Source organism: Homo sapiens, chromosome 8, assembly GCF_000001405.40.
Source record: "Homo sapiens chromosome 8, GRCh38.p14 Primary Assembly".
NCBI classification, from domain to species: domain Eukaryota; kingdom Metazoa; phylum Chordata; class Mammalia; order Primates; family Hominidae; genus Homo; species Homo sapiens.
The window spans coordinates 41,587,162-41,609,961 of NC_000008.11; the positions used below are offsets into that span (position 1 = coordinate 41,587,162).

The following is a 22,800-nucleotide window of genomic DNA, read 5'->3' on the forward strand; positions in this document are numbered from 1 at the left end:
ATGTTCCTGTTTTCTGGAGAGTCTCATTTGCCCCCAGTATGCTCTGCAGACACTGGCTGTGGCCATGTTTGCCTCCCTGTCAGGCCATGTGAACTTTCTGAATGAGAAAGCATGCTCCAGCCATTTCAGAGGCATATAAACACCTTTAGGCAAAAGTGGTAGTTGAAAACCTCATTAGTATAATGTCATTACTTCTTGGGAAATACATTCAAATTCCCCTTCTCCTTCCTAGTGACAGGGGCTTAGATGAATAGTATTCCATTATATCCTCTATTGGGAGACGTTGATGTTTGTTTTGATATTACAGACAATGCCGCAGTCAGTATCCCAGCACATATTATCACTTTGCTCATGCTTTAAAATACAGGGTTTATACACTTCTGCACTACTGACATTTGGGGCTGGACAGTTCCTCATTGTGTGGGAGCTGTCCTGTGCATTGTAAGATGTGCAGCATCATCTCTGCCCTGCGCACTGCACTAGATGCCAGTAGTAGCACTCCCATCCCAAGTCGTGACAGCCAAAAATCCCTGTAGATATTGCCAGATGCTCCCCAAGGGGGTAAAAAAATCACCCTTGGTTGGGAACCACTGGTCCGATTTATCCTTAGGATACATTTCTAGAAGTGGAATTGCTGGATCTAAGGTTACATACATTTAAAATTTTGATGACAGTCGCTAAATTGTTCTTTGTAGAGGTTGAACCCTTTTTACACTCCAACCAGCAGTATTTGAGGATGTTTTTCCATTCTCACCAGTGCAGTGGTTTATCAGAATTTCTTTGCCATCTCACTGTAGTTTCAATTCGAATTTCTCCATTTTACGACTAACCTTTTTATTGAACACTTCCTGCTTGCTAGGCAAGTTGTGTTTTTTGGCCTGTGGATTTTGTGTCATACGTTATAATGCTTTCCTTTCTAAGCCTTTTTGAAGTTTGGTACCTAGGACTGAAGACTGAGTTTCTTCTGATTCTAATGAAATGATAATATATACCATTCATTGAGATCTAACATGTGACAGGCATTGTGCTTGGTGTGCTCTAAAAATACGTGCATTCTTTTGTGATCTAAGCATGTATTAATAAAGTGGCCTTTCTTTTACCTTTTGAGTTGGCACAGGGCCTCTGTCTGCACATATTCTAGCAGTTATGGTCCCTGAGTTGGGATGTGTCACAGAGAGCCGACTGAAAAGTATTTGATTCTGCATTTAGGAGTGATAATAGTCCCAGTCCAATACCTTGTGATTGGGAGAGAATTGGTATAGATGCCTTGATTTAAATTAAGTTCTGTTCTGTTCTGTTCTTTTTTCTTTTCCTTTTCCTTTTCCCTTTCCTTTTCTCTCTTCTCTCTTTTCTCTTCTTTTCTTTTCCTTTTCCTTTCCTTCTGTTTTGTTTTCTTTTCCAAGAGTGTATTTTCCTTGTCAACAGTCATCATAGTTTGAAATTACAACTTTTTGTGTGCTTGTTTCCGGATGGGCATATCTTTTCACCGCTGAACAACAGCTAACACCTGATGTACTGTCTGGCACACACTGTGTGCCCAGTGAGTATTTGTTGAATGAATGAACTAGTCACTCCAAGAACTGAGGCCATTAGGGAGCCTAAAGGCCCAGATTTGCCATTCCATGGGTTGAAGAGTTAGGTTAGCTTAGTGATGGGCTCTGTTGCCTTCCTGGAATGGAGGCAGCTTCCTTCCTAAAAGACTCAGAACTAGCTGATTCTCTGGAATGTTTGGCCTGTGGGGGAACGTTGGCCCTGATGATTCTGGGTGAGTTTGGTTGGAACCCATCTGTGGACGTTGAGGGAATAAGTGAATATTCCTCTGAATGAATGGCTTCCCCAGCTCACATTCTTAAGGGGTCATGCTTATATTTACTTGAGGCAAAGTGATAGCCTCTCGTAAAAGAACGGTTATCTAGAAATTGTGGTTTGATTGAGTTCTGATGTGAACAGTTTTGATATTTCTAGACATCAAAGTCTGTATTAAGGGGACCTTAAGCCACCAGTTACCTCTGGCTTTAATGATTTTTCAGTTTCCAAACACTACCGATTTGATAAACTCAGTTGGCTTGCTCTTTCCTCTACTTCTAAGAATTTGTGTGAGTGTTGTTTAGTGTTGGCCAAATAACTTGTTAGGCCAGTTTGGTGTTCTCTGTCCTGGAGGCTGGCATTCAGCAAAAGGAACTCGGGGTGGGGTGTGGCGGGATGGGATGGGGTGGGATGGGATGGGACTGGGAGAGCCAGCAGGGGGCCTCTGAGCGGAGGAAAGACTAGCAAGGTCATGAGTGCAGACTCTTCCTATAAGGGGCAGATAGTGAGTATTTTAGGGTCTGTATCTGTAAGGGGCAGATAGTGAGTATTTTAGGGTTTTTCAAATCTTCTTTGTTTTTTGCATCTGTTTAAAAGAGTCTAAGAATGTAAAAACTCATGAGTCTTTGTGAAAAAGACTGTAGCCAGATGTGGGCTGTGACTGGCCAACCCCTGAACTAGGTGAAGAAATTGGTTTATTGCTGCAGGTGTTTACTGGTTTGGGGACATGAACCCAGAATAACCTTGGGAATTCTTAGCTATGATCCTTAGAGGAGTGATCTACACTCTGGCATGGGGGTCAAAGTGACCCTGGTGTCAATCACCTTGGGTCTGTGGAACTCAGGGTAACCCTGGCCAGTAGGACAGAGGCCCTTGCTGCCTCTTTCCCATGGCAGTGCTGTCCACAGGGAGTGGAGAGACAGCAATGGTGGAGGAAAGGAGATGTTGCCCTGGACAGGCCTGAGAACTTCGGTAACTCAGGTTCCTGAACTACCTCTAGAACACGGTTAGAAAACTGGCATGTACGAGCGTTTATCAAAACACAAGAGCGTGTCTGTATCTTGGATTCTGAGACCACCACCAAATTCTGATAATGGAGTCCAGATCTTGATGGTTTTCTCTAATCACAAGTTCTGTAGAGCAGGCTGGCTTGCTACTTCTTTTTTTTTTTTTTAAAGAGTCCCATTCTGTCACCCATGCTGGAGTCTTCCCAGGTTCAAGCAATTCTCCTGCCTCAGCCTCCTGAGTAGTTGAGATTACAGGCATGCGCCATGATGCTTGGCTAATTTTTGTATTTTTAGTAGAGATGGGGTTTCACCATGTTGGCCCGGCTGGTCTCAAACTCCTGACCTCAGGTGATCCACCTGCCTCAGCCTCCCAAAGTGGGATTACAGGCATGAGCCACTGTGCCCGGCCAGTGCTACTTCATTTTAAAGCATGTAGTTTGGGAGACAGGAAGAAGTAGGGGTTACAGAGCAGGGGCCTGGAGACGAATGCTCTTGTCCTGCTTCCAACTCTCTGCAGCCCTGGGTAACTTGAGTCCCTTAATCTTCCCAACCTCAGTGTCCTCACCTGTAGATCAGGATGACAATGACTCCACCGTACAGCCATCGTGAGGATTACTTGAGGGTGGTATATGTGAAATGCTCCTTAGCGCAGTGCTGGGCATGTTGTAAGCACTCAGTCAATGTTAGCAATCGCAGTGACAGTGTGAAAGTGGAAGGAAATGTAAGAAGTGGCCATCAGAACTAGGAACTAGGGTTCATGACCCAGCACCACTGAATAGCATGTCCTTGTAGACTAGAGCATTTTGTCTTCAGAAATGTGTGAATGTCATGGAGCCGTACAGAGGAACTGGGTCTGCAGCTACCTCTCTCAGCTTCCTGATGTGTAAAATGCAAATCATACAGATTGATGGACTGGGGATAAACAAACGAGGTAACAAGGGAAGGGCCTTGAGTTCTATGAAACTATAGCAGGACGAGCCATAGTCAAGAACCCCTCAGACACCAAGTTGTAGAAGGAAAGGGTTTTATTCAGCTGGGGGCGTTGGCGGACTCACATCTCCAAAAACCAAGCTCCCTGAGTGAGTAATTCCTGTCCCTTTTAAGGGCTTACAACTCTAAGGGGTTCCACGTGAGAGGGTTGTGATCGATTGGGCAAGCAGGGGGTACGTGACTGGGGGCTGCATGCACCGGTAATCAGAATGGAATAGAACAGGACAGGGATTTTCACGATGCTTTTCCATATAATGTCTGAAATCTATAGATAACACAAGAGGTTAGATCAGAGGTTGGTTTTTAACTACCAGGCCCAGGGTGTGGTGCTGGGCTGCCTGTGGATTCCATTTCTGCCTTTTAGATTTTATACTTCTTTCTTTAGAGGCAGAAATTGGGCATAAGACAGTATGAAGGGTGGTCTCCTCCCTTAAAACATTGCGCAGATTTTAAGGCGAAGTCAGTAGTTGTTCATTTCCTCCCTTTGAGAACCTCACTCATTAGTGGGAGTTCTCACTTTCTTCTTCACTACCCATGTCTTCTTGCAAGACAGATCGATAGTGATTCATATAGTACACTTATGCTGAAGCATTTTGGTGAACTAAGGTAATGATGAAGCTTTTTATCATTTGAAGAAGTACAGGTAGCAAACAAGGGAGTAGTAAGCAGGTTCCTATTACTATTGTAACTCCTATTATAAGAGTTTTAAATCCTCCTAGCACTGGGAACCATTTTCCAAACATGGCCCCAGGATCAAATCCATGCCACACTTGCATTGGCACATGTGCCAGTTTTGTCATATCTCTGTGTCTTCAACTACTGGCCCTTGATCATCTATGTGTAGACAGCAATTACTAAGTTTAAATTCCAGACAGACCCTTCCTTCAGCTGCTAGCAAGTAGTCAAGAGCCAATCTATTTTGATAGATAGCATTTCTCATCTGAGTTTCTTGCCAGGCCAGAATAGTCAAGGCTCTGCCAGTTTTATTAGTGATTATTTCTAAGACAGCTTGTAAACGTTTGATTCGGTTGAGCATGTAAATGGCAGTCCAGTATCCCTACGAGCCATCTTGTGCCCAATTAGCAGGCCCATAATATGGTATGATTCTCTTAGGGGGCCATTTATCATCTTTCCAATTTCCTATAGCTATGCTTCTTTTTTTGCAGGAAGCATAGACAGGGAAGCCCAGGAGTTTACCTGTTTTTATGGGCAGTAGGAAGAAAGATGGTTTAATAGTGCCAATAACACAACTACCTGCCCACTGGTTGGGTAATTTGGCTTAAGCTCTATGCCCACATATCCAGTATAATCCAGTGGGGGCTGTCCAGTCCCGGTGGGACTCCAGGTGGGTCCATGTGGTTTGCAACTTTGGGAATTTACTAAATGGATTCCTTTCTGTGTGATTTGAACTCCACCAAGTGACTGTTTTTGTGGTACCAATATACAGTTTCTGTCCCAGACAACTAAGTTGTCCTACGGGGTGAGTGAATTCTTTGCCTTCTCTAGCTATGCAATATTGTCCAAAAATTGAGGCTTTTAGGACCCAGAAATTATCAGGGTGATTCTTTTGAGCCAGGAATTCATCAGGAACTGGGTCTGTAGGTACTAATTCTCGGGCTTCTCATGGCCATTGATCTCCCATTACAGTTCCTCAACATACATAACATGAAGTGACATTGAGAGACTGGGCTAAATGCTCGGCTAATTGCAAAAACATTTCATGTTTTTCCTGGAATTTCTGGTACTAGCGCATTTAGTTCATCATAGAAAGTTTGAAACACTGGCTCAGGAGAGTGTTTGTAAACTTCTTCTTGAACTAAGATATTTACTTGAGGATCCAGTCCAGCCCCATCGATTCCTAAGGTCACACGCTCCCCTTTTTTCCTGTGAGGATCAAGGGGATTGGTTATTACTAGCTCTAAGGAGTTACATTGTCCCTTAGTACAGGAAGGGCCACTTTTTCCTTTCTGAAGGTGGACTGGATCCTTTTCATTTTTTATCCACGTGGCCCAAATGACACAAGACTAGTATCCACATTCATTTCCACACAGTCCTAATTCATAACAAATATACTTACTTTTGGTCATATAGCCTTTTTCCCCATCAAAAGAGCCACATCCTCTTCCTAACTTATTGCTGTTAATGACAGCACAGACATCAAATTTCAAGATTATGCGTTTGGGCACCCCTTTTTCTTCTGTTCTGGCTAATACTTTACTTGTATCACTTACGAGTCCCCACCAGTCTTCAGTCCTTAATCTTATTTCAAAAACTGTGGACATGGGAGGCTCAGAGGGGTTATAACACACATCAGGCTGGTCACTTCCTGGGCTACATACCTTGTACTGTGTGGCATTATACAAACAAGTCCTTTTTAGAGTTCCAGCACATTTATAATAACTATAGAACAAAAAGACAGTTTTAACTTTTTGACTGGATGTATACACTGGGAATAGTCCTTAGTTTGAGGAAGTTCAGTTGAAGTCCCTACTGTACAAGTCCAAAATTTAAGGAAAATAAGTCCCACGGTGAGTTTCCTCATGCTTCGGCCGTGTGTGGACCACTCAGCCTCAGGTGTGACTGGGACTATGGCCCACGACTCTGGAGGAGGTGCTGCTTTCTTGACTCGGGTGTGATGAGTCCATCCCTTTTTTGCTGTACGAACAGCAGTCTCTGTGGTTAACAGCACAAGGTAGGGTCCTTCCCAGGCTGGCTCTAGTTTCCCTTCTTTTCACCCTTTGATGAGAACGTGATCCTCAGGCTGGTGCTGGTTTACCGGAAATTCTGGGGGTGGTACATGTGCTAAAAGACTTTTAGTTTAGTGGAAGATAAACCAAGTATATGATTTTTGAGAAATTCACCTTTTGTTTTAAATGTGGGGACATCAGCAGTGGACTTTATAGTCCTTGGTGCCTTTCTACTGAGAAATTTCCTTTAGCACCTATTTTTATTAGTTTTTAGAACAAAGAAAGCCAAACACCATTTTATATTTGACAATGCTTCCTGGATGATTTTTATACCAGATAAGCTATATTTCATTTTTATATTAGTGTGTTATTAATGTTAAACTTGGTTTTAATAAAACTTTGTAGACATATTTATTCAATTTTTAATGTCTGACCATAAGGTAAGATATTTATAGGCTCTTTTTAACCTTTTATAATTTTTTGTTAAAGAGCAGGTTAGTGCTTTAAGAAAAACCCATTGTGTTTTTATTTTAATGTTCAGTTTACAGAAAAACTGGATGATACCTCTTTAACTTTAGCCAATATGTTTACACACAGAATTTTCTTTACAATTAACGTTTTAAAACTTGCGTAAACCTTTAAAACAATTTTTTTAACCTTTTAATGTAGGTAAAAATTTACATTCCTATGCCTGCTTATAATCCATTTACCAAAGGTATATTTTACTTTCCTAATATACCTTGCACATAAACTGTTTTTTTAAATAGTTTTACATTCAGGAGGCCTATATTATACAACATTTCTTGCATAAATTCCTTTTTTTAATAACTTCTTTTTCTCACAACTTTCGCAGACAATTCTTCGATATGTCTCAACTTTCTGACTTATTACAAACTTTTTTTTTTTTTTTTTGAGATGGAGTCTCGCTCTGTCGCTCAGGCTGGAGTGCAGTGGTCCGATCTCGGCTCACTGCAAGCTCCGCCTCCCGGGTTCACGCCATTCTCCTGCCTCAGCCTCCCAAGTAGCTGGGACTACAGGCGCCCGCCACCACACCTGGCTAATTTTTTGTATTTTTAGTAGAGACGGGGTTTCACCGTGTTAGCCAGGATGGTCTCCATCTCCTGACCTTGTGATCTGCCCGCCTCGGCCTCCCAAAGTGCTGAGATTTCAGGCGTAAGCCACCGTGCCCGGCCCAAACTTTTTTTTTAAACGACCAGTTATTTTATTTCAGGGCAAGAATTTACCATATAGCTTTTTTTTTACATAAATTCTGTCCCCCCTTTTTTTCTGAAGATGATAACCATTCTTTTCCAAAGTGAACTTCCTTTATGTCTGTGGACTAGACTGTCTAAGGCGACAAGATTAGAAGTTACTATAATATATGTTACACTTTTAACTTTTAGCAGACTTCAGTTTTGTTGAAAACCTTGTAAGTTTGGGATTTTAATTATCCTTTGCTATTAATAAGACCTTGTTTAGTCCAAATTAACTTAGAATTGGTATAGTTTTTTTTTTTTTTTTTTTAATTACCTGGGAGGAACCATCTATTGTCCTGTCCTGAAGGGAGTTCCTCCTAGGTCTGGTTGGACCTTTGTATGGTAATTAAGATTTAGATCTCCTGTTAGGAAACCTGCTGGGTTAAGGGAATTTTCAGTGGTTAATGTTAAATCTTCCTTTTTTTTTTTTTTTTTTTTTTTTTTTTACTTAGGATATTTCTGAACTGGTGAGGTATGCTCACAATGAGGTTTCCTCTAAAAGTTATTTTTCTACTTTCTTCTGTTAGCAAAGCAGTTGCCACTACAGATTGAATGCTTTTGGGCCATCTGCAGATTACTAGGTTAAGGATGGTTGATAGGAAGGCTACAGGTTGTTAGTGGCCTCAGTGCTTTCGGGCTAAGCCCTTGTTTACACTTACAACAAGGTGGTATTGGAGTGTTGTAGGGTCACGGAGAAGACCTTCAATTATCAATTATAGGTTTTAAATTTACCCTGGCTTTTAAAGGAATAGGGTACACTTTTTTTCTTAACTACTTGTATATCTCTTTCTTTCTCTCTTTAACTTTCTCTCTCTTTGACTTTTCCTTTTGCCTCTGCCTCTTCCTCTCTCTCTGCCTCTCTCCCTCCTTGACTCCGTCTTTGTCTCTCCCCCTCTTCCTGTCTCTCTTTTCCTCTTTTCCTCTCTGTCTCTTTTCTCTGTCTCTCTCTGCTGGTCTTTCCTTGCCTCTGCCAGCCACTTATGCTGCTGTTCTCTCAACCACTGTGGCGGGGCAGGGGTGGGGGGGTGTGATCTAAAACCAGCTGTAACCAAGTGTCTATGAACAGGAACTGGTCTAGGCGCCCTGGCTTTCAGGTTACCTTGTGCCGTACCTTTGAAACAAGGGACCTGTCCAGGCTTCTTTTCTGATGGCCAACGGCCACCTCTAATGTTGGCCAGTCTATTTCTGGCCAAACTTAGAACACAAAGTTCTAAGTTTTCCTGGTATCATAGTAATGCCGTAATCTCCCTTCAGTCCTTTCTTGAAAATTTTCAACGTAGTTCCTAGTGGGGTGGGCTTATTTTGTGCCTGACCCATGCTTCCTTGAGACAAAACACCACGCTCACCCCACACACACACCACAAAACAAAGAACGGGTAAAAAGGGCACACACACACTTTTACAGTTTACACCAAACCAGAATCAAAACCAAAATCAGAGTATCAAGAGATCCAAGCCAGGTCAAAACCAAAGTATCAAGCAATCCAAGTTAAGTCAAAAACAAAAGCCAAAGTACCCGTACAGCCATGCTGTGGGTGATCAGGCCACGCTTCCACTCAAATGGAGTGGGCAAGTTCCAAAGACCAGTCTTACCAAGTTTCAGATGTCTGGACTCCCAAGTGCCAGTTCCTTCCCGGTGTTCAGCCACTGCGTTGATCCTCTGGGAGCCTGCCACATGCTGCTCTGGCGACATGTCCCATGGGGCAATTGCCTACCCAGGAGCGCTCTTTGGATCCACATTGCTCAGGCTGGTCTGAGTCCCCCGCAGGGATGCTCCACAGGGCAGGCCTAAGTCACCTAAGGGGCTGCCTTGGCCTTCCTCTAATCACCTTGTTTCCAGTCAGGGAACCAAGAAATGCAACAGGACTAGCCGCGGACAAGAACACCTCAGACACCAAGTTGTAGAAGGAAAGGGCTTTATTCAGCTGGGAGCATCAGTGGACTCACGTCTTCAAAAACCGAGCTCCCCGAGTAAGCAATTCCTGTCCCTTTTAAGGGCTTACAACTCCAAGGGGGTCCGCATGAGAGGGTCATGATCGATTGAGCAAGCAGGGAGTACGTGACTGGGAGCTGCATGCACCGGTAATCAGAATGGAACAGAACAGGACAGGGGTTTTCACGATGCTTTTCCATACAGTGTCTGAAATCTATAGATAACACAAAAAGTTAGGTCAGGGGTTGATTTTTAACTACTAGGCCCATGGCACGATGCTGGGCTATCTGCCTGTGGATTCCATTTCTGCCTTTTAGATTTTATTTCTTCTTTCTTTGGAGGCAGAAATTGGGCATAAGACAATATGAAGGGTGGTCTCCTCCCTTAAAACATTGCGCAGATTTTAAGGCGAAGTCAGTACTTGTTCATTTGTTCAATTTCTTGTACTTCTAAGTGTTTGGAATAGCCTGAAGGTGATTAGTGTGAAGCCAAAATATTTGCCAGAGAGACTTGATAGGATACTCCCAAGTTCAGGGATTTGGAATGTGCGATGTAAAATTGGAATACTTTTGTGAGATATTTGAAATAGTGGAATTTCACAATGAGTGGCCAGTGTGGGGAGAGGCTGGAGGAGTTTAATCTCTATGTGGAAAATATGGCAAGGTCTTGCAAATTTAAAAATGTGTATTTTCTTTTCCTCTGCAATTCCATTTCTAGGAATTTACCCCGAAAATATATTTGCTAAGCACATTTTGTGTACTAAGTCATGCATGTACCTGGTTATTCGTTACAACATTATACAAAAAAAAAAGTAAAAATATCAGTGTTTAGCCTTAGGAGACTGGTGAACTAAGTTGTGGCACATTCTTAAGTTGAAAACTTTGCACCTGCAGAGTGAAGGAGCTCTATGTGTATTGATGGGACATTCTTCTAAGATGTGTTAAACTAAAAACAAAAACAAAAAGCAAGGTGAAGAATAATACGTCCTTGTTGCCTGGCCTGGGGGCCATTGGTGACGGAGAACCATTGTGATTTCCTTGTTTAAGCATAGAATGTCTTGGGAAGAATACAAAGGTGGTTACAACCTTTGGCTGCATCTGTGCGGAACCACTCTGAGTATCTGGGGGACAGGAAGGAGATGTACTTTCCATAGCACACGCTTTTTATCTTTTAAATGTGTCTTATATACATGTATTTTATATTCAGAAAGTTTGACCACCGATCATATCATTTGGGTTGAAAACTGTGAAACCTCTATGTTTCCCTCCCACATTCATGTCTGCCACCTGTTGGGTCTGCCTGGTCTCTTTGACCTTGATGACTTGAGAAGCAGTCATTGACCACACTGACAGTTTTAGGCTTACCCTAAAACAGTCCGCCTGGCCCCCAGCATATTGACATTTTTCCTCTTGATTTGTGTGACTGACAATGTTTCTGTTTCCCTCCCCCAGCTTTGGCAGCATGTAAGCAGCTGTTTGCCAAGAACCCAGGTCACTGCTAAGAAAGGGTGCCTTCGGGAGAAGAGTGTCCAGAGGATACCAATGCCAGATGCATCTGGAGTTACACTCAGCACTCGCAGTATGAGACATTGTGTGCCAGCATCTCTTTCCTTCTGGCAAAGACTGTAGCTCTCCAGGTAGGAGGATCCTGGAAGCTGTGAGCACCAGGAGCCTTGCCAGAGGAGGATGGGGCCAGATATGAACTCTCTACCATGAACATGGTTCTCGGCTTATGAAGGAATTTTAAGTAAAACAGTTATTTAATTTCCACATATTCAAGTCAAAAGCCTTCTGTGTGAAGTGCCAGTGATTACCCCTCCACAGGAGTTATCAGGATTTTTCTGGCACCAAGTTTAATTCTTCTTCGTACTTCTGGTAGTGACAGATCTGCAGGACAGATTTATCTGTTGAATGCTCTTGGGCAGGAAAACCATGTAAAACCTCTGGAAGCAGCATCAGGACAGCAGAGCAGAGCCCCCGTCCTCACTGCTCACTTGCACAGAAACTCCATCTGGACTCGGATGCTTTTACTGAAGACCCATCTAGCTTCAATCATCTTTAGAGTCCATCCATTCTGGAGAGACCTGGCGTTTGCAGTTGCCTCCTGTGGCCGTGTTTTTCTGTCATTCTGTTCCCAGGCCTTCTATTCAGGCGGTTGAAGGGTGTGGACTTTGGAATGGGGTTTGCTGTTCTTCGGGAACTTGCTTCCTTTCCCTGGCTGGTGCTGTCAGGAAGGACCATCTGAAGGCTGCAATTTGTTCTTAGGGAGGCAGGTGCTGGCCTGGCCTGGATCTTCCACCATGTTCCTGTTGCTGCCTTTTGATAGCCTGATTGTCAACCTTCTGGGCATCTCCCTGACTGTCCTCTTCACCCTCCTTCTCGTTTTCATCATAGTGCCAGCCATTTTTGGAGTCTCCTTTGGTATCCGCAAACTCTACATGAAAAGTCTGTTAAAAATCTTTGCGGTAAGTTATGCTGTTACAAAAGGTTGCTTCACAGAGGAGGGTAGAAGTGCATTTAGCAAAAAGTTATTCTTACAGGCCTATTATCTCTTTATTAGATAGGGAGAAAGTTGGGAGAATGGGAAGTGGCTTTTTGAGTAAGAAGAATAACTAAACGTCTACTTTTGAAAGGTACTTGTGTGTTTGATTTATGCCGAGCCGAGGGACCTATACCATGACTCCACATGTTGCCTGTTTATTTCAAAGAGAATGGGGCTTAGAATTAAAGAAAAGCACTGCCAATCTCTGTCTCTTCTTGCATAACTGATGCCATAGCTCGAAGCTGCTGCAGGCATATTCCCTCACTGAGAAGCATGGGAGAGCCTCTTCTCTTCCAGGCATTTATTCTAAGTAGGTCCTTGCATTTCAGACTAAAAGAATGGACAGAAAAGGGCATTTGAATTGTTTTATTAAAGGTAGAGGCAAAGGATACATTTCTGAACATATGTCAGAACTTACCTGACTGTTGAATTATACCAAACTGGTCACATTGTAAGGAAATAGGTGAGAAGTGATGTTTTTTGGAAGTTGATCTCTCCCACAAGACTTAAATACCTCTGCACAGATTTGGTGATTTCATTGTAATGTCTGTTTTTAGTAGTCACCAAATCTTTAGGGATTCATGTATAATTTGAGAAGTGCACTTATAGTAGTAAAAATAATACAGCATTGTTCATATTTTATCTTTTTCTTTTCTTTTTTTTTTTTTTTTTTCGAGACAAGAGTCTCACTCTGTCGCCCAGGCTGGAATGCAGTGGCGCAATCACGGCTCACTGCAACCCCTGCCTCCCGGGTTCAAGCAATTCACCTGCTTCAGCCTCCTGAGTAGCTGGGACTACAGGCCCATGCCACCACACCCGGCTATTTTTTCGTATTTTTAGTAGAGATAGGGTTTCACCATGTTGTCCAGGCTGGTCTCGAACTCCTGACCCCTCAAGTGATCTGTCCACCTCAGCCTCCCACAGTGCTGGGATTACAGGCCTGAGCCACCGTACCTGGCCCATATTGTATCTTCTGGTTTTGAGAGTAACTTTTATCGTTTTTCTTTGGTTCCTTATAATTCTGTGGTAGATGGGGCATTTTATCAACCTGCATTTTATTTATCTGCATTTTATCAATGAAGAAAAAGACTCAGATTAAGTGAGCTATGTGAAATGTTACATTATAGTGTGAAATATTTTTTATGTTTGTCATTGAATCTTGGGTTTTTTCTTTTTTGGTACTTAGTATGTCTATAAGCATATGGTGTTTTTTTTTTTTACATTTAAGAAAACCAAGGGGAAATTGACAACATAAAGTTAATAATTTTAGAGTGAACAGTTCAGTAGCGTTTACTATATTCACATTGTTTTCTGTCCAATTCACAACATTTTCATCAGTCCAAAGGAAACCCCACACTCATTAAGCATTCACTCCCCATTCCTCCCTCCGCCAGCCCTGGCAACCACAGTCTGCATTCTGCCTCTGAATTTACCTATTCTGCATATTTCATGTGAATGGAATCATACCAAATATGCCCTTTTGTGTCTGGCTTCTTTCACTCAGCATAACATTTTCAAGGTTCATCAGCATCGTAGCACGTGTCACTACTTCTCTTCTGCTTGTTTGTGGGTGAGGGGCTGAATTATATTTTACTGTATGTCTCTACCATAATTTGGTCATCCTTTCATCCATTGATGGACAAGGATGGGCTGTTTCTACCTTCTCTGGCTATTTTGAATAGTGCTGCTGTGGACCTGCGTGTACGTGCATTTGTTTGAGTACCTGTTTTTTTAAGAATATAATCTTAGAGCATTGCTTAAGGATGGACTTGGGGTTATCTGTATCTGGGTCCTTGCTACTCAGAGAGCGATCTGGAGAGCAGCTGCATGAGCATCGCCAAGCAGCTGGTTAGAAATGACCATTGCAGACCCACCCCAGACCTATTGAGTTAGACTCTGCACAGGTGAATCAGATGCATATTAAAATTTGAGGAGTAGTGATCTAGTCAGTCTTTGGACTGGCTGTTTTTTAATGTATTTATTTTAATTAGGAAATGTAATTTTCATATATTTTAGTCCAAGAAAATCTCGAGCAGCACACAGGATCCCTGCGGATGGTATAACTTACACCTGGGCCCTTTTACCACCATGAAAAACATCTATCAGGATAGAATTAGTAGAAAAGCTGATAAACTTAGGACACAGTGAGTGGTGTCTGGTGTCTAGTGTCTAGCTTTCATTTACATTTGTAAGCAAGTGGTTAATTCATGGACCTATGGAAGTTGTAATTATTAAAAGGTAGAAGTAAGAGTTATGAGCCTAGAGTTCTCTTGTAGTAGTTAAAATTTCACTTGGATGACTTTGGGTAGGGCAGAAGGCCTAGAATCCATGTATATTCCTTGCTCCATTTTGAAAATGTCCCCAAAATTAATACTTTAAAGTTTATAGCCAAATCCTTTGTATTGTGACTATTATTTAAAATGTACATCCCTATGACTTTTAATGTAGATTATGATACAATGGAAAATTCATCATATGTGTACTTTGGGCCAATTTATAGGACCTGCAGTCTTGAACCAACAGAGACTATTTGAAGCCACATCTTGAAAATTACTGGTTTGGGCCACAGTGGCCCAAATGTATTTATTTATGAGACAGAGTCTTGCTCTTTTGCCCAGGCTGGAGTGCAGTGGCATGATCTTGGCCCACTGCAGCCTCCTCGTCCTGGGTTCAAGCAATTCTCCTGCCTCAGCCACCCAAGTAGCTGGGATGACAGGCGCGTGCCATCACACCCGGCTAATTTTTGTATTTTTAGTAAAGACAGGGTTTCGCCATGTTGCTCAGGCTGGTCTTGAACTCCTGGCCTCAACTGATCCATCCGACTCAGTCTTCCAAAGTGGTGCTGGGATTACAGGCGTGAGCCACCACACCTGGCCTGGGGCACAGTGATTTAGAAGCGGTAATGGAAGTAGCATATGTATATTTGTGACCTCAACATTTAGAATATCAGAAACTAGATTTGCACTCCTTCCTTCCTTAGAGGTGTGTGCCAGCCACCGAAAGGGTTGTAGATGCCCTGTGGGGCCTGTCCTGTTTGTGGACCATTACAGCCTGGCTGTAAACTGAGTCACGTGGGCCAGAAAGGACTGGCGTATTCCTGCAGGGGCCTGGGGTGCTCCGGAAGAGTGCTGGTCTTTTTTCACCCTCTGTTACTGCTCTGAGTCGATCTGAATGGAAGGTAGGAACTGAATGCTGCCTTCTCAGTGGTCACATAGGTACAGCTGAACTTGGCCCAGTGGGCTTCAGGTCTTGGGAAGTCAGTATCTGTGTATCTGTCTAAAATACACCTAACACTTGTGGGTGTTTATGTGTACCTTTCTTAAAATTGAGGAGTGTCTTAGTCTATTTAGGCTGCTATAACGAACTACCATGGGTTGGGTGGCTTAAAAAACACGTTTAGTTTTTACATTTCTGGAGGCTGGGAAAACCATGTCCAGGCACCAGCAGATTCAGTGTCTGGTGAGGCCGCTTCCTGGTTCATAGACATCTGTCTTCTCTCTGTGCCCTCCTGCGGCAGAGGGATGAGGGAGCCCTCTGAAGTCCCTTTTTTAGGGATATTACTAGTGCTATTCATGACTGCTTCACCTTCATGACCTTATCACCTCCCAGAGGCTCCACCTCCAAATGCCATCACCTTGGGGCTTAGGTTTCAACATGAATTTTGAGGGGACATAAGCATTTATTCTCTAGCAAGGAGAGACCTTTATTTTACCTTTTTAAGCCTCTTCACCACTTCCTAAATTGGAATAATGGGTATAAGTTTAGAGCCGGAAGAAAGTTCAGAGATCGTCTTCATTTTGCCGTTCTCCCTCCTGTCAGTGCATTTAAATCGCCTGGGGAGGCATTTTAAAAAATACTTCTGGGGCTGGGCGCAGTGGCTCATGCCTGTAATCCCGGCACTTTGGGAGGCCGAGGCAGGTGGATCACCTGAGGTCGGGAGTTCGAGACCAGCCTGGTCAACATTGTGAAACTCCATCTCTACTAAAAATACAAAATTAGCCGGGCGTAGTGACGCACATCTGTAATCCCAGCTACTCGGGAGGCTGAAGCAGAAGAATCGCTTGAACCCAGGAGGTGGAGGTTGCAGTGTACGGAGATCCCGCCACTGCACTCCAGCCTGGGTGACAAAGCAAGACTCCGTCTCAAAAAAAAAAAAAAAAAAAAAGTAATTTTGGGCCCCAGAACCTGCTTTAACTGATCTGGGTAGGCGTTTTTTTAAAAGCTCCCCAGGGTATTCTGATGTCCCAAGTATGGACCTCAGTGACTGTTCCTGACACAGAGGATGTGGGGGGGCAGGATGCTGTGATATGTGAGATTAGGTTAGAAAATGCAGTAGGGCTTCTATCTGGCCCGTCTCTCAGGCCGCTTGCCCCTGGACCCCAGCTACCATGTTGTAAGGAAGCCAACCAGGTGTAGGCAGCCCAGCTCCCAGCTCAGTGAGGCCCTGAAGGCCAGCACCAGCCACCCCACACTGGAGGGATGAGTCTTCTGAGGATTCCAGTCCTCAGCTGCACAGAATGAATGAATGAATGAATGAATGAATGGTGTATTCACGTAGTTTTGGGGTGGCTTGTAATATAGCAATAAGATAGCCAGACAGACATTAGAAAATTTTAAACATTCATTCATGGCCCACAACTTGTAACACCTTTTAATTTTTTTTTTTTTTTTTGCCTTCTTCCTTTCAGTCTTTGGCAATAAACATTTATATTTTATGGCTGTATTAATAGTGTTTACTTGTTGTTGTGTGTCTACATTTTCTTTTGGCATTTTATCAGCCATTTTCACATTTTACTAAATAATCTTCATAAAGATCATTAAAACTGGATACCTAATAGTTCATGCAGTACATACACCTGTGCTTTTGGCAGACCTAAGCTAGCCCTGGCTTACAGCTCCTTTCCCATGACTAGTTCTCCCTATATAAAGGAACCAGGAGAAAGTATTTGTGTACCTGCCAAGGGAGGAGGAACATGGAGAGGATATGGGTGGATCAATATCTTTTCTGTTCCCTTTCCTGGAAGCCCTAACTCAGTGCAGGTCCTGTTCATGCTGAGTCACAGAAGATCTTTGTGTGCAGAGAGCAGCATGTGACTGGAAGGGTTTTAGTGTTTGCTTAATGTTTGTGCTTCACATGAACCCCCTCCACAGTGGTGATGGTATTACTAGGAGTAGAATTCCCAGGAGTTGACCCTCAGCTGAGTTGAAAATGACCTGGAAGAGGGGAGAGAAGAAAGCCTGGATGTAAAGGAGAAAGATGAGAACAAATGATGTGAAAGGAGTTGATCAGGTCACGTTAGAGAAGATGAGACAGCTATGATGTGATCTGTGTTAAACTCCAAGGTGGAACTTGTTGGTGGAGAGTCAGAAACCAGTGGCAGTTGTGGAGAAGCTGAAGAGACTAGTGGTGGTGGCATTGTGTGCGATGGGCATTTGTGTTGGGTCAGGCAGCTGTTACCTTGAATCCCAGGGCTTTCATTACTGGCTCTGAAAAAGGCATTGAACTTTCCAGTGTTTCTTCATTTAGAGAGTGGGAGTATTAATACTCCTTTCACATGGTTGTAGTGAAAGAGGTCATCCTACCCCCGATGAGGAGTGTGATTTTAACATAGCCTTGAGTAGGTTAAAGGACAGACTGAAGCAGACAGGAATTAAGGGGGAAGACGAAAGGAAATAGCTCCAGGTTTTGTCATTTTGGCTCTACTTTTCCATAAGGAGACCTTGATGGAGAAAAATATTGGGAGTTGATGAATTAAATTAGTGACTGCCTACTAAGTAGAAGGCACTCTCTCAGACTGTGCTGAAATGCACATAGGGGTAAGTTCTGGCTGCCGCCTCTTGAGGTTTGTGTAGTCTAGTAGGAAAGACATATGCATCTATAACTAACTCAGAATGAATTAGTTGAAATACCAGTTGAAATACACAGGCAGAGGTGAATTCTGATTGCAGGAATTGAGTAGGTAACATTTCTTAGATTTGACATTTGAACTGGATCCTAAAAGGGAGAAGGATAGAGCATTCTAGAAGCACAGTTGATAAAGGTGAAAAGGTAATATTGTTTAGAGATGGCACATAGTTCAGTAGAGCAAAAACACGGCGCATGGAGGGAATGAGGTGGGTTACAATACTGAACTTCAGGCATTGAGAAATCATTGAAGGTTGTGTTTTGTTTGTTTGTTTGTTTGTTTGTTTGTTTGTTTGTTTGTTTTTTGAGACAGAGTCTCCCTCTGTTGCCCAGGCTGGAGTGCAGTGGCGCAATCTTGGCTCACTGCAACCTTCGCCTCCTGGGTTCAAGTGATTCTCCTGCCTCAGCCCCGAGTAGTTGGGGTTACAGGCCTGTGCCACCACACCTGACTATTTTTGTAGTGTTAGTAGAGATGGGGTTTTGCCATGTTGGCCAGGCTGGTCTCAAACTCCTGACCTCAAGTGATCCACCCTCCTCAGCCTCCTAAAGTTCTGGGATTACAGGCATGATCCACTGCGCCCAGCCCATTGAAGATTTTTGAACAAGAAAGTGACGTGGCTGGACTCTGGCAGCATGTGGATCGGAGGGAAGCAAGAGGGAAGCAATTCAATAGGGAATAAGGGAGGGCAGAGGACAGGGCATGAACCACGAGGCAGCTGGGTGAGAGCATCCTCTTGGGAGGATGGCAAGGGCTTGCCGTATCTTGCCCTATGCATCTCTTCCATCTGGTGCTTCCTGAGCTGTGTGTGCTTTATCATAAAGCTATACATGTTAAGTAAACCATTGCCCTGAATCTTGGGAGTCATTCCAGCACATTGAACCTGAAGAAGGGTTGTGGGAACCCCGATTTATAGCTGGTCAGTCAGAAGTACGAGTCATGTGAGACTTTCAACTTGGATCTGAAGTAGGGGCAGTCATGTGGGACTGACTCTTAACTTGTGGGATCTGATACCAACTCCAGGTCAATAGCCTCAGAATTGAATTGAATTGAATTAGAGGACACCCAGCTGGTGCCTGCTGAAGATTTGCTTGGTTTGGGTTTGGGGGGGCATTCCTCACACATCTGGTATCAGGAGTGTGCTGTGTGAGTATAGTGCAGAGAAGCAGTGTTTTCCCAGAGGCATTTTGATTTGGTCCAGTAGGGTTTGTAGGGGCCAAGGGAAAGCATCCCCTTTGCCCTCTGAAGATTCACTGAAAAATCAACTCTCAAAAGCAGATTAATAAAAGAAAAGACGTACAAATTTATTAATGTGCACAGGAGTTTTACAAAGATCTCAAAGAAATAGCTAGATGGTTGATGCTTTTGTAGCATTTGAGGTTACAGAAACAGTGGGGGCTCCGAGCATGGCCAAAAAACAGGCTATGGCGGTAAATCAGGTGGCAGTAGGTAACAAGAGGGAGAGAAGAGGTGGCTTGGCTAGCACGGGTAGTCTTGTGTAGATGAAACCTCACAGATAGCAGCCCTTCAAAAGTGTAGATGCTAAGTGTTTCTTTCAGACCTTTAAAGGCGTCTGACTCTCAGTTCTTTCTAGATTGGGACAAGGAGGGAGTTGCTTCAGAGAAAGTCTATTTGCATCTGTTGTTTACTTCACGTTGTCTCCTCTACAGATGCAAATTCCTCCTACAAAAGACAGTTTCTCCGTTATTCTTGCATTTCCAGTCCTTCTGAACAGTCCTCTTGAAATATGTCAAAGAAGTATATTTCAGGATGAAATATTTTGGTTTCTTTCAGGCAGAAAGAGTCCAGTTCATTGATCAGCCATTTCTCAAACTCCTGGGCTTAAATGATCCTCCTGCCCATAGTGCTGGGATTACAGGTGTGAGCCACTGCACCCAGCCACCTGATCAGCCATTTCTTAACAGGCTGTTCAGCCCTCTCCTCTTTTCCCCTGCCCTTGTGACTTGGGGCAATTTTTTCCTAAACACAGACGTGTTTTGTCATGTTCCTGAAATTAAAAAGCAGGAGGCCAAAGGGATGTTTATTACTGAACTGCCACAGAACTAGGAGATGTAGAATCTCAATTAGCAGATCCCTTTCCCATGATCACAGAGCCTGCAGGCGTCTTGAATTTTGCACATTGAAACAATCCTCAGACTGAAATTGTCATCTGAGAGGCCTTATGTCATATATTCTCTGCCTATTGCAGTCTCATGGAGTATCAGAATTGTCAGTACAGAATCAAGTTTCTCTCTCTTTTTTTTTTTTTTTTGAGACAGGGTCTTGCTGTATCTCCCAGGCTGTAGTGCAGTGGTGCAATCTCCGCTCACTGCAGCCTCAACGTCCCCTGGCTCCCATCTCAGCCTCTGGAGTAGCTGGGACTACAGGCACACATCACTATGCCTAGCTAATTTTTTTGTATTTTTTAGATACGGGATTTTGCCATGTTGCCCAGGCTGGTCTCAAACTCCTGGGCTCAAACGATCTTTCTGCCTTGGCCTCCCAAAGTGCTGGGATTACAGGCATGAGCCCCACTGCGTCTGGCCCCAAGTTTTTCTCTTCTGATTATTCTTGCAGTGCCAAAACAGAGCCTGGCCAAAATGTAGAACCCTAAATTCTGGTTGAGTGACCTGTGTTTCTGCATGCCAGGATTGTTGTGAACTCTCTTGCCCCTTTTCACCTCTTCTCTAGTTCCAGGAAACCAGATGAGATTTACCTTCCTCCATTTTAGGTATTATATTAACATTTTTAAAGGAAAGCTCGTCTGTGCTTAGAGCCAAAAGACATCAATGGCCAAATATCTGAAACAGAGAAAATGGGTCATGTGAGTTTTCTTGCCTTTGAACTTTCTTTGCGTGGTGACTTTGTGAGCCACCTTCCTCTCTAGACTGTGTGGTTTGAGATTTCCAGATGAGGTCAGATCACTGATTAAACTCGCGTGCAGCATTCGGCTTTGCTGGACCACGTGGTGCAGTCTTGCTGACCCTTTGGGCTTTGCCAGCAGAACCCGCACCATGTGCCCTGGGCCACGTGCATCTTCCCATGCCATGGGATGATGGGCTCGTGCCCACTGTGCATAACCGTGGAAGCCGAAGGTTGAGGCTTTTGAATGCCTGTTCTGTTTCTCTGACTCACTGTGGACATGACATAGCTTTCTCTCTAGTGATACCATATCCAAGGGGGGATAAGTGCACCCATGTTTTCACCTCTCATTTGATAGTGGGAGAGAACCAGCCCCTGGCTGTCTTATACCAGCGAAACCAGTTTTAATGAAGAGGGATTCTAGGAAAAGCGTCTTTTTCCTAGGTCTTTTCCAGAATCTGTGTTATTTCGGTAATAATCAGGACAGAGTGCTTTGCATTTCCCCAGTTTTGTCCCATACATGATTTCATTTTATCCTAAGCGATCCCGTGAAGTAGGAGTTTGAGGTAGTATCAATCCTGTTTTGCAGATAAAGAGACCAAGATTCAGAGACTTGGAATGGGTTGCTTAATGAACGCAGCTAGTGAATGTAAACTTGGGAATTGAATCTGGGTTTTTTTTTTTCGGTCTCCTAATAGTGTTCTTTTTTTCCTTTAACACTATTAAGCCACTCCCAGGCCTTTCAGTGTTAAGTTGTGGGATTCTCCCATTAAAATGTTACTCCTGTTACTGGACAGTCCAAACATATGTATTACTTAAGCTCTTTGTCTCCTTTAAAATGAAAATTGCTGCTTTCTTGGAGTAATTTGGTGGCAGGCAGTAGTTTACAGGATACCTGGCTTCGCTGTTTTGAGTAGCTGCCGTGCGGCAGTGCAGGAGGAATCGTGAGGTCTGTGCTGTCAGCAAGTGAGCTCCCTACAGCCCGGAGACAGAGAGACGTAGGCAGTGAGGAACTAGGCCTGAGGAACTCGCCCCAGCTTCTTGAAGTTCCCAGTGTTTTGCTATAGGTGACTTAACTCTTGGTCCCAGTTGTCAAGGAAGGGGCTGCTCTGGGGAGAGGTGGTTTGAGTTTCCTTCTAGACTATGTGCTTCTTGGCTACGGTCTTAGGTGACTGGGACTGAGGCTTTCACAGAATAGAGATGGAGGTGTTCACTGATTGAAAACAGGTCTCATTCTTGCTCTTGTATCTTGCTTCCTTCCCCTCCCAGTGGGCTACCTTGAGAATGGAGCGAGGAGCCAAGGAGAAGAACCACCAGCTTTACAAGCCCTACACCAACGGTAAGATGGGGGTGTGATCCTTGTCCTGAGAGGTCCATTTGAACAGTGTTCCCCAGTGCTTCTGGTGCCACACACGCTCTTCCCTGCATTAGTGCAGGATGTGTGCTCTGAGTATGTCTCACGTGCTCTCCCCCAGCGTGCTGCTTGACAGGGACACATTCTTTTGCAGGAATCATTGCAAAGGATCCCACTTCACTAGAAGAAGAGATCAAAGAGATTCGTCGAAGTGGTAGTAGTAAGGCTCTGGACAACACTCCAGAGTTCGAGCTCTCTGACATTTTCTACTTTTGCCGGAAAGGAATGGAGACCATTATGGATGATGAGGTGACAAAGAGATTCTCAGCAGAAGAACTGGAGTCCTGGAACCTGCTGAGCAGAACCAATTATAACTTCCAGTACATCAGCCTTCGGCTCACGGTCCTGTGGGGGTTAGGAGTGCTGATTCGGTACTGCTTTCTGCTGCCGCTCAGGTGAGG

The 22,800-nt window shown here is 43.7% G+C and overlaps 1 protein-coding gene across 6 annotated transcripts in view, besides 3 other annotated features; it reads left to right on the forward strand.

Annotated features, from left to right (window-relative positions):
* The window catches only part of GPAT4 (glycerol-3-phosphate acyltransferase 4), a 46,802-nt gene that overhangs the window by 8,962 nt on the left and 15,040 nt on the right, over window positions 1-22,800 (forward strand). For 4 of the 6 annotated variants that reach the window (NM_001363198.2, NM_178819.4, NM_001363197.2 and 1 more), the window contains exons 2-4: window positions 11,131-12,143; window positions 22,255-22,324; window positions 22,494-22,794. Coding sequence is in view for 5 of the 6 variants with exons in the window: in NM_178819.4 (NP_848934.1) it covers window positions 11,979-12,143; window positions 22,255-22,324; window positions 22,494-22,794 (536 nt within the window). In the remaining variant the exon portion in view is untranslated. Of the gene's footprint in view, window positions 1-9,586; window positions 9,718-11,130; window positions 12,144-22,254; window positions 22,325-22,493; window positions 22,795-22,800 lie in introns of all 6 variants that reach the window. The other 2 variants (XM_047421370.1, XM_047421372.1) reach the window with 1 other exon arrangement.
* Window positions 7,053-7,554: an enhancer, noted in NCBI's record as "H3K4me1 hESC enhancer chr8:41451733-41452234 (GRCh37/hg19 assembly coordinates)". NCBI's record gives its function as "activates a minimal SCP1, AML or CMV promoter by ChIP-STARR-seq in naive H9 embryonic stem cells {active_cell/tissue: H9 hESC(naive)}" and the evidence as "EXISTENCE:reporter gene assay evidence [ECO:0000049][PMID:30033119]".
* Window positions 9,485-9,985: an enhancer, noted in NCBI's record as "H3K4me1 hESC enhancer chr8:41454165-41454665 (GRCh37/hg19 assembly coordinates)". NCBI's record gives its function as "activates a minimal SCP1, AML or CMV promoter by ChIP-STARR-seq in naive H9 embryonic stem cells {active_cell/tissue: H9 hESC(naive)}" and the evidence as "EXISTENCE:reporter gene assay evidence [ECO:0000049][PMID:30033119]".
* Window positions 21,428-22,627: an enhancer, noted in NCBI's record as "CDK7 strongly-dependent group 2 enhancer chr8:41466108-41467307 (GRCh37/hg19 assembly coordinates)". NCBI's record gives its function as "activates an origin of replication core promoter dependent on BRD2, BRD4, P300/CBP, MED14 and CDK7 cofactors, with strong dependence on CDK7, by STARR-seq in HCT116 cells {active_cell/tissue: HCT116}" and the evidence as "EXISTENCE:reporter gene assay evidence [ECO:0000049][PMID:35650434]".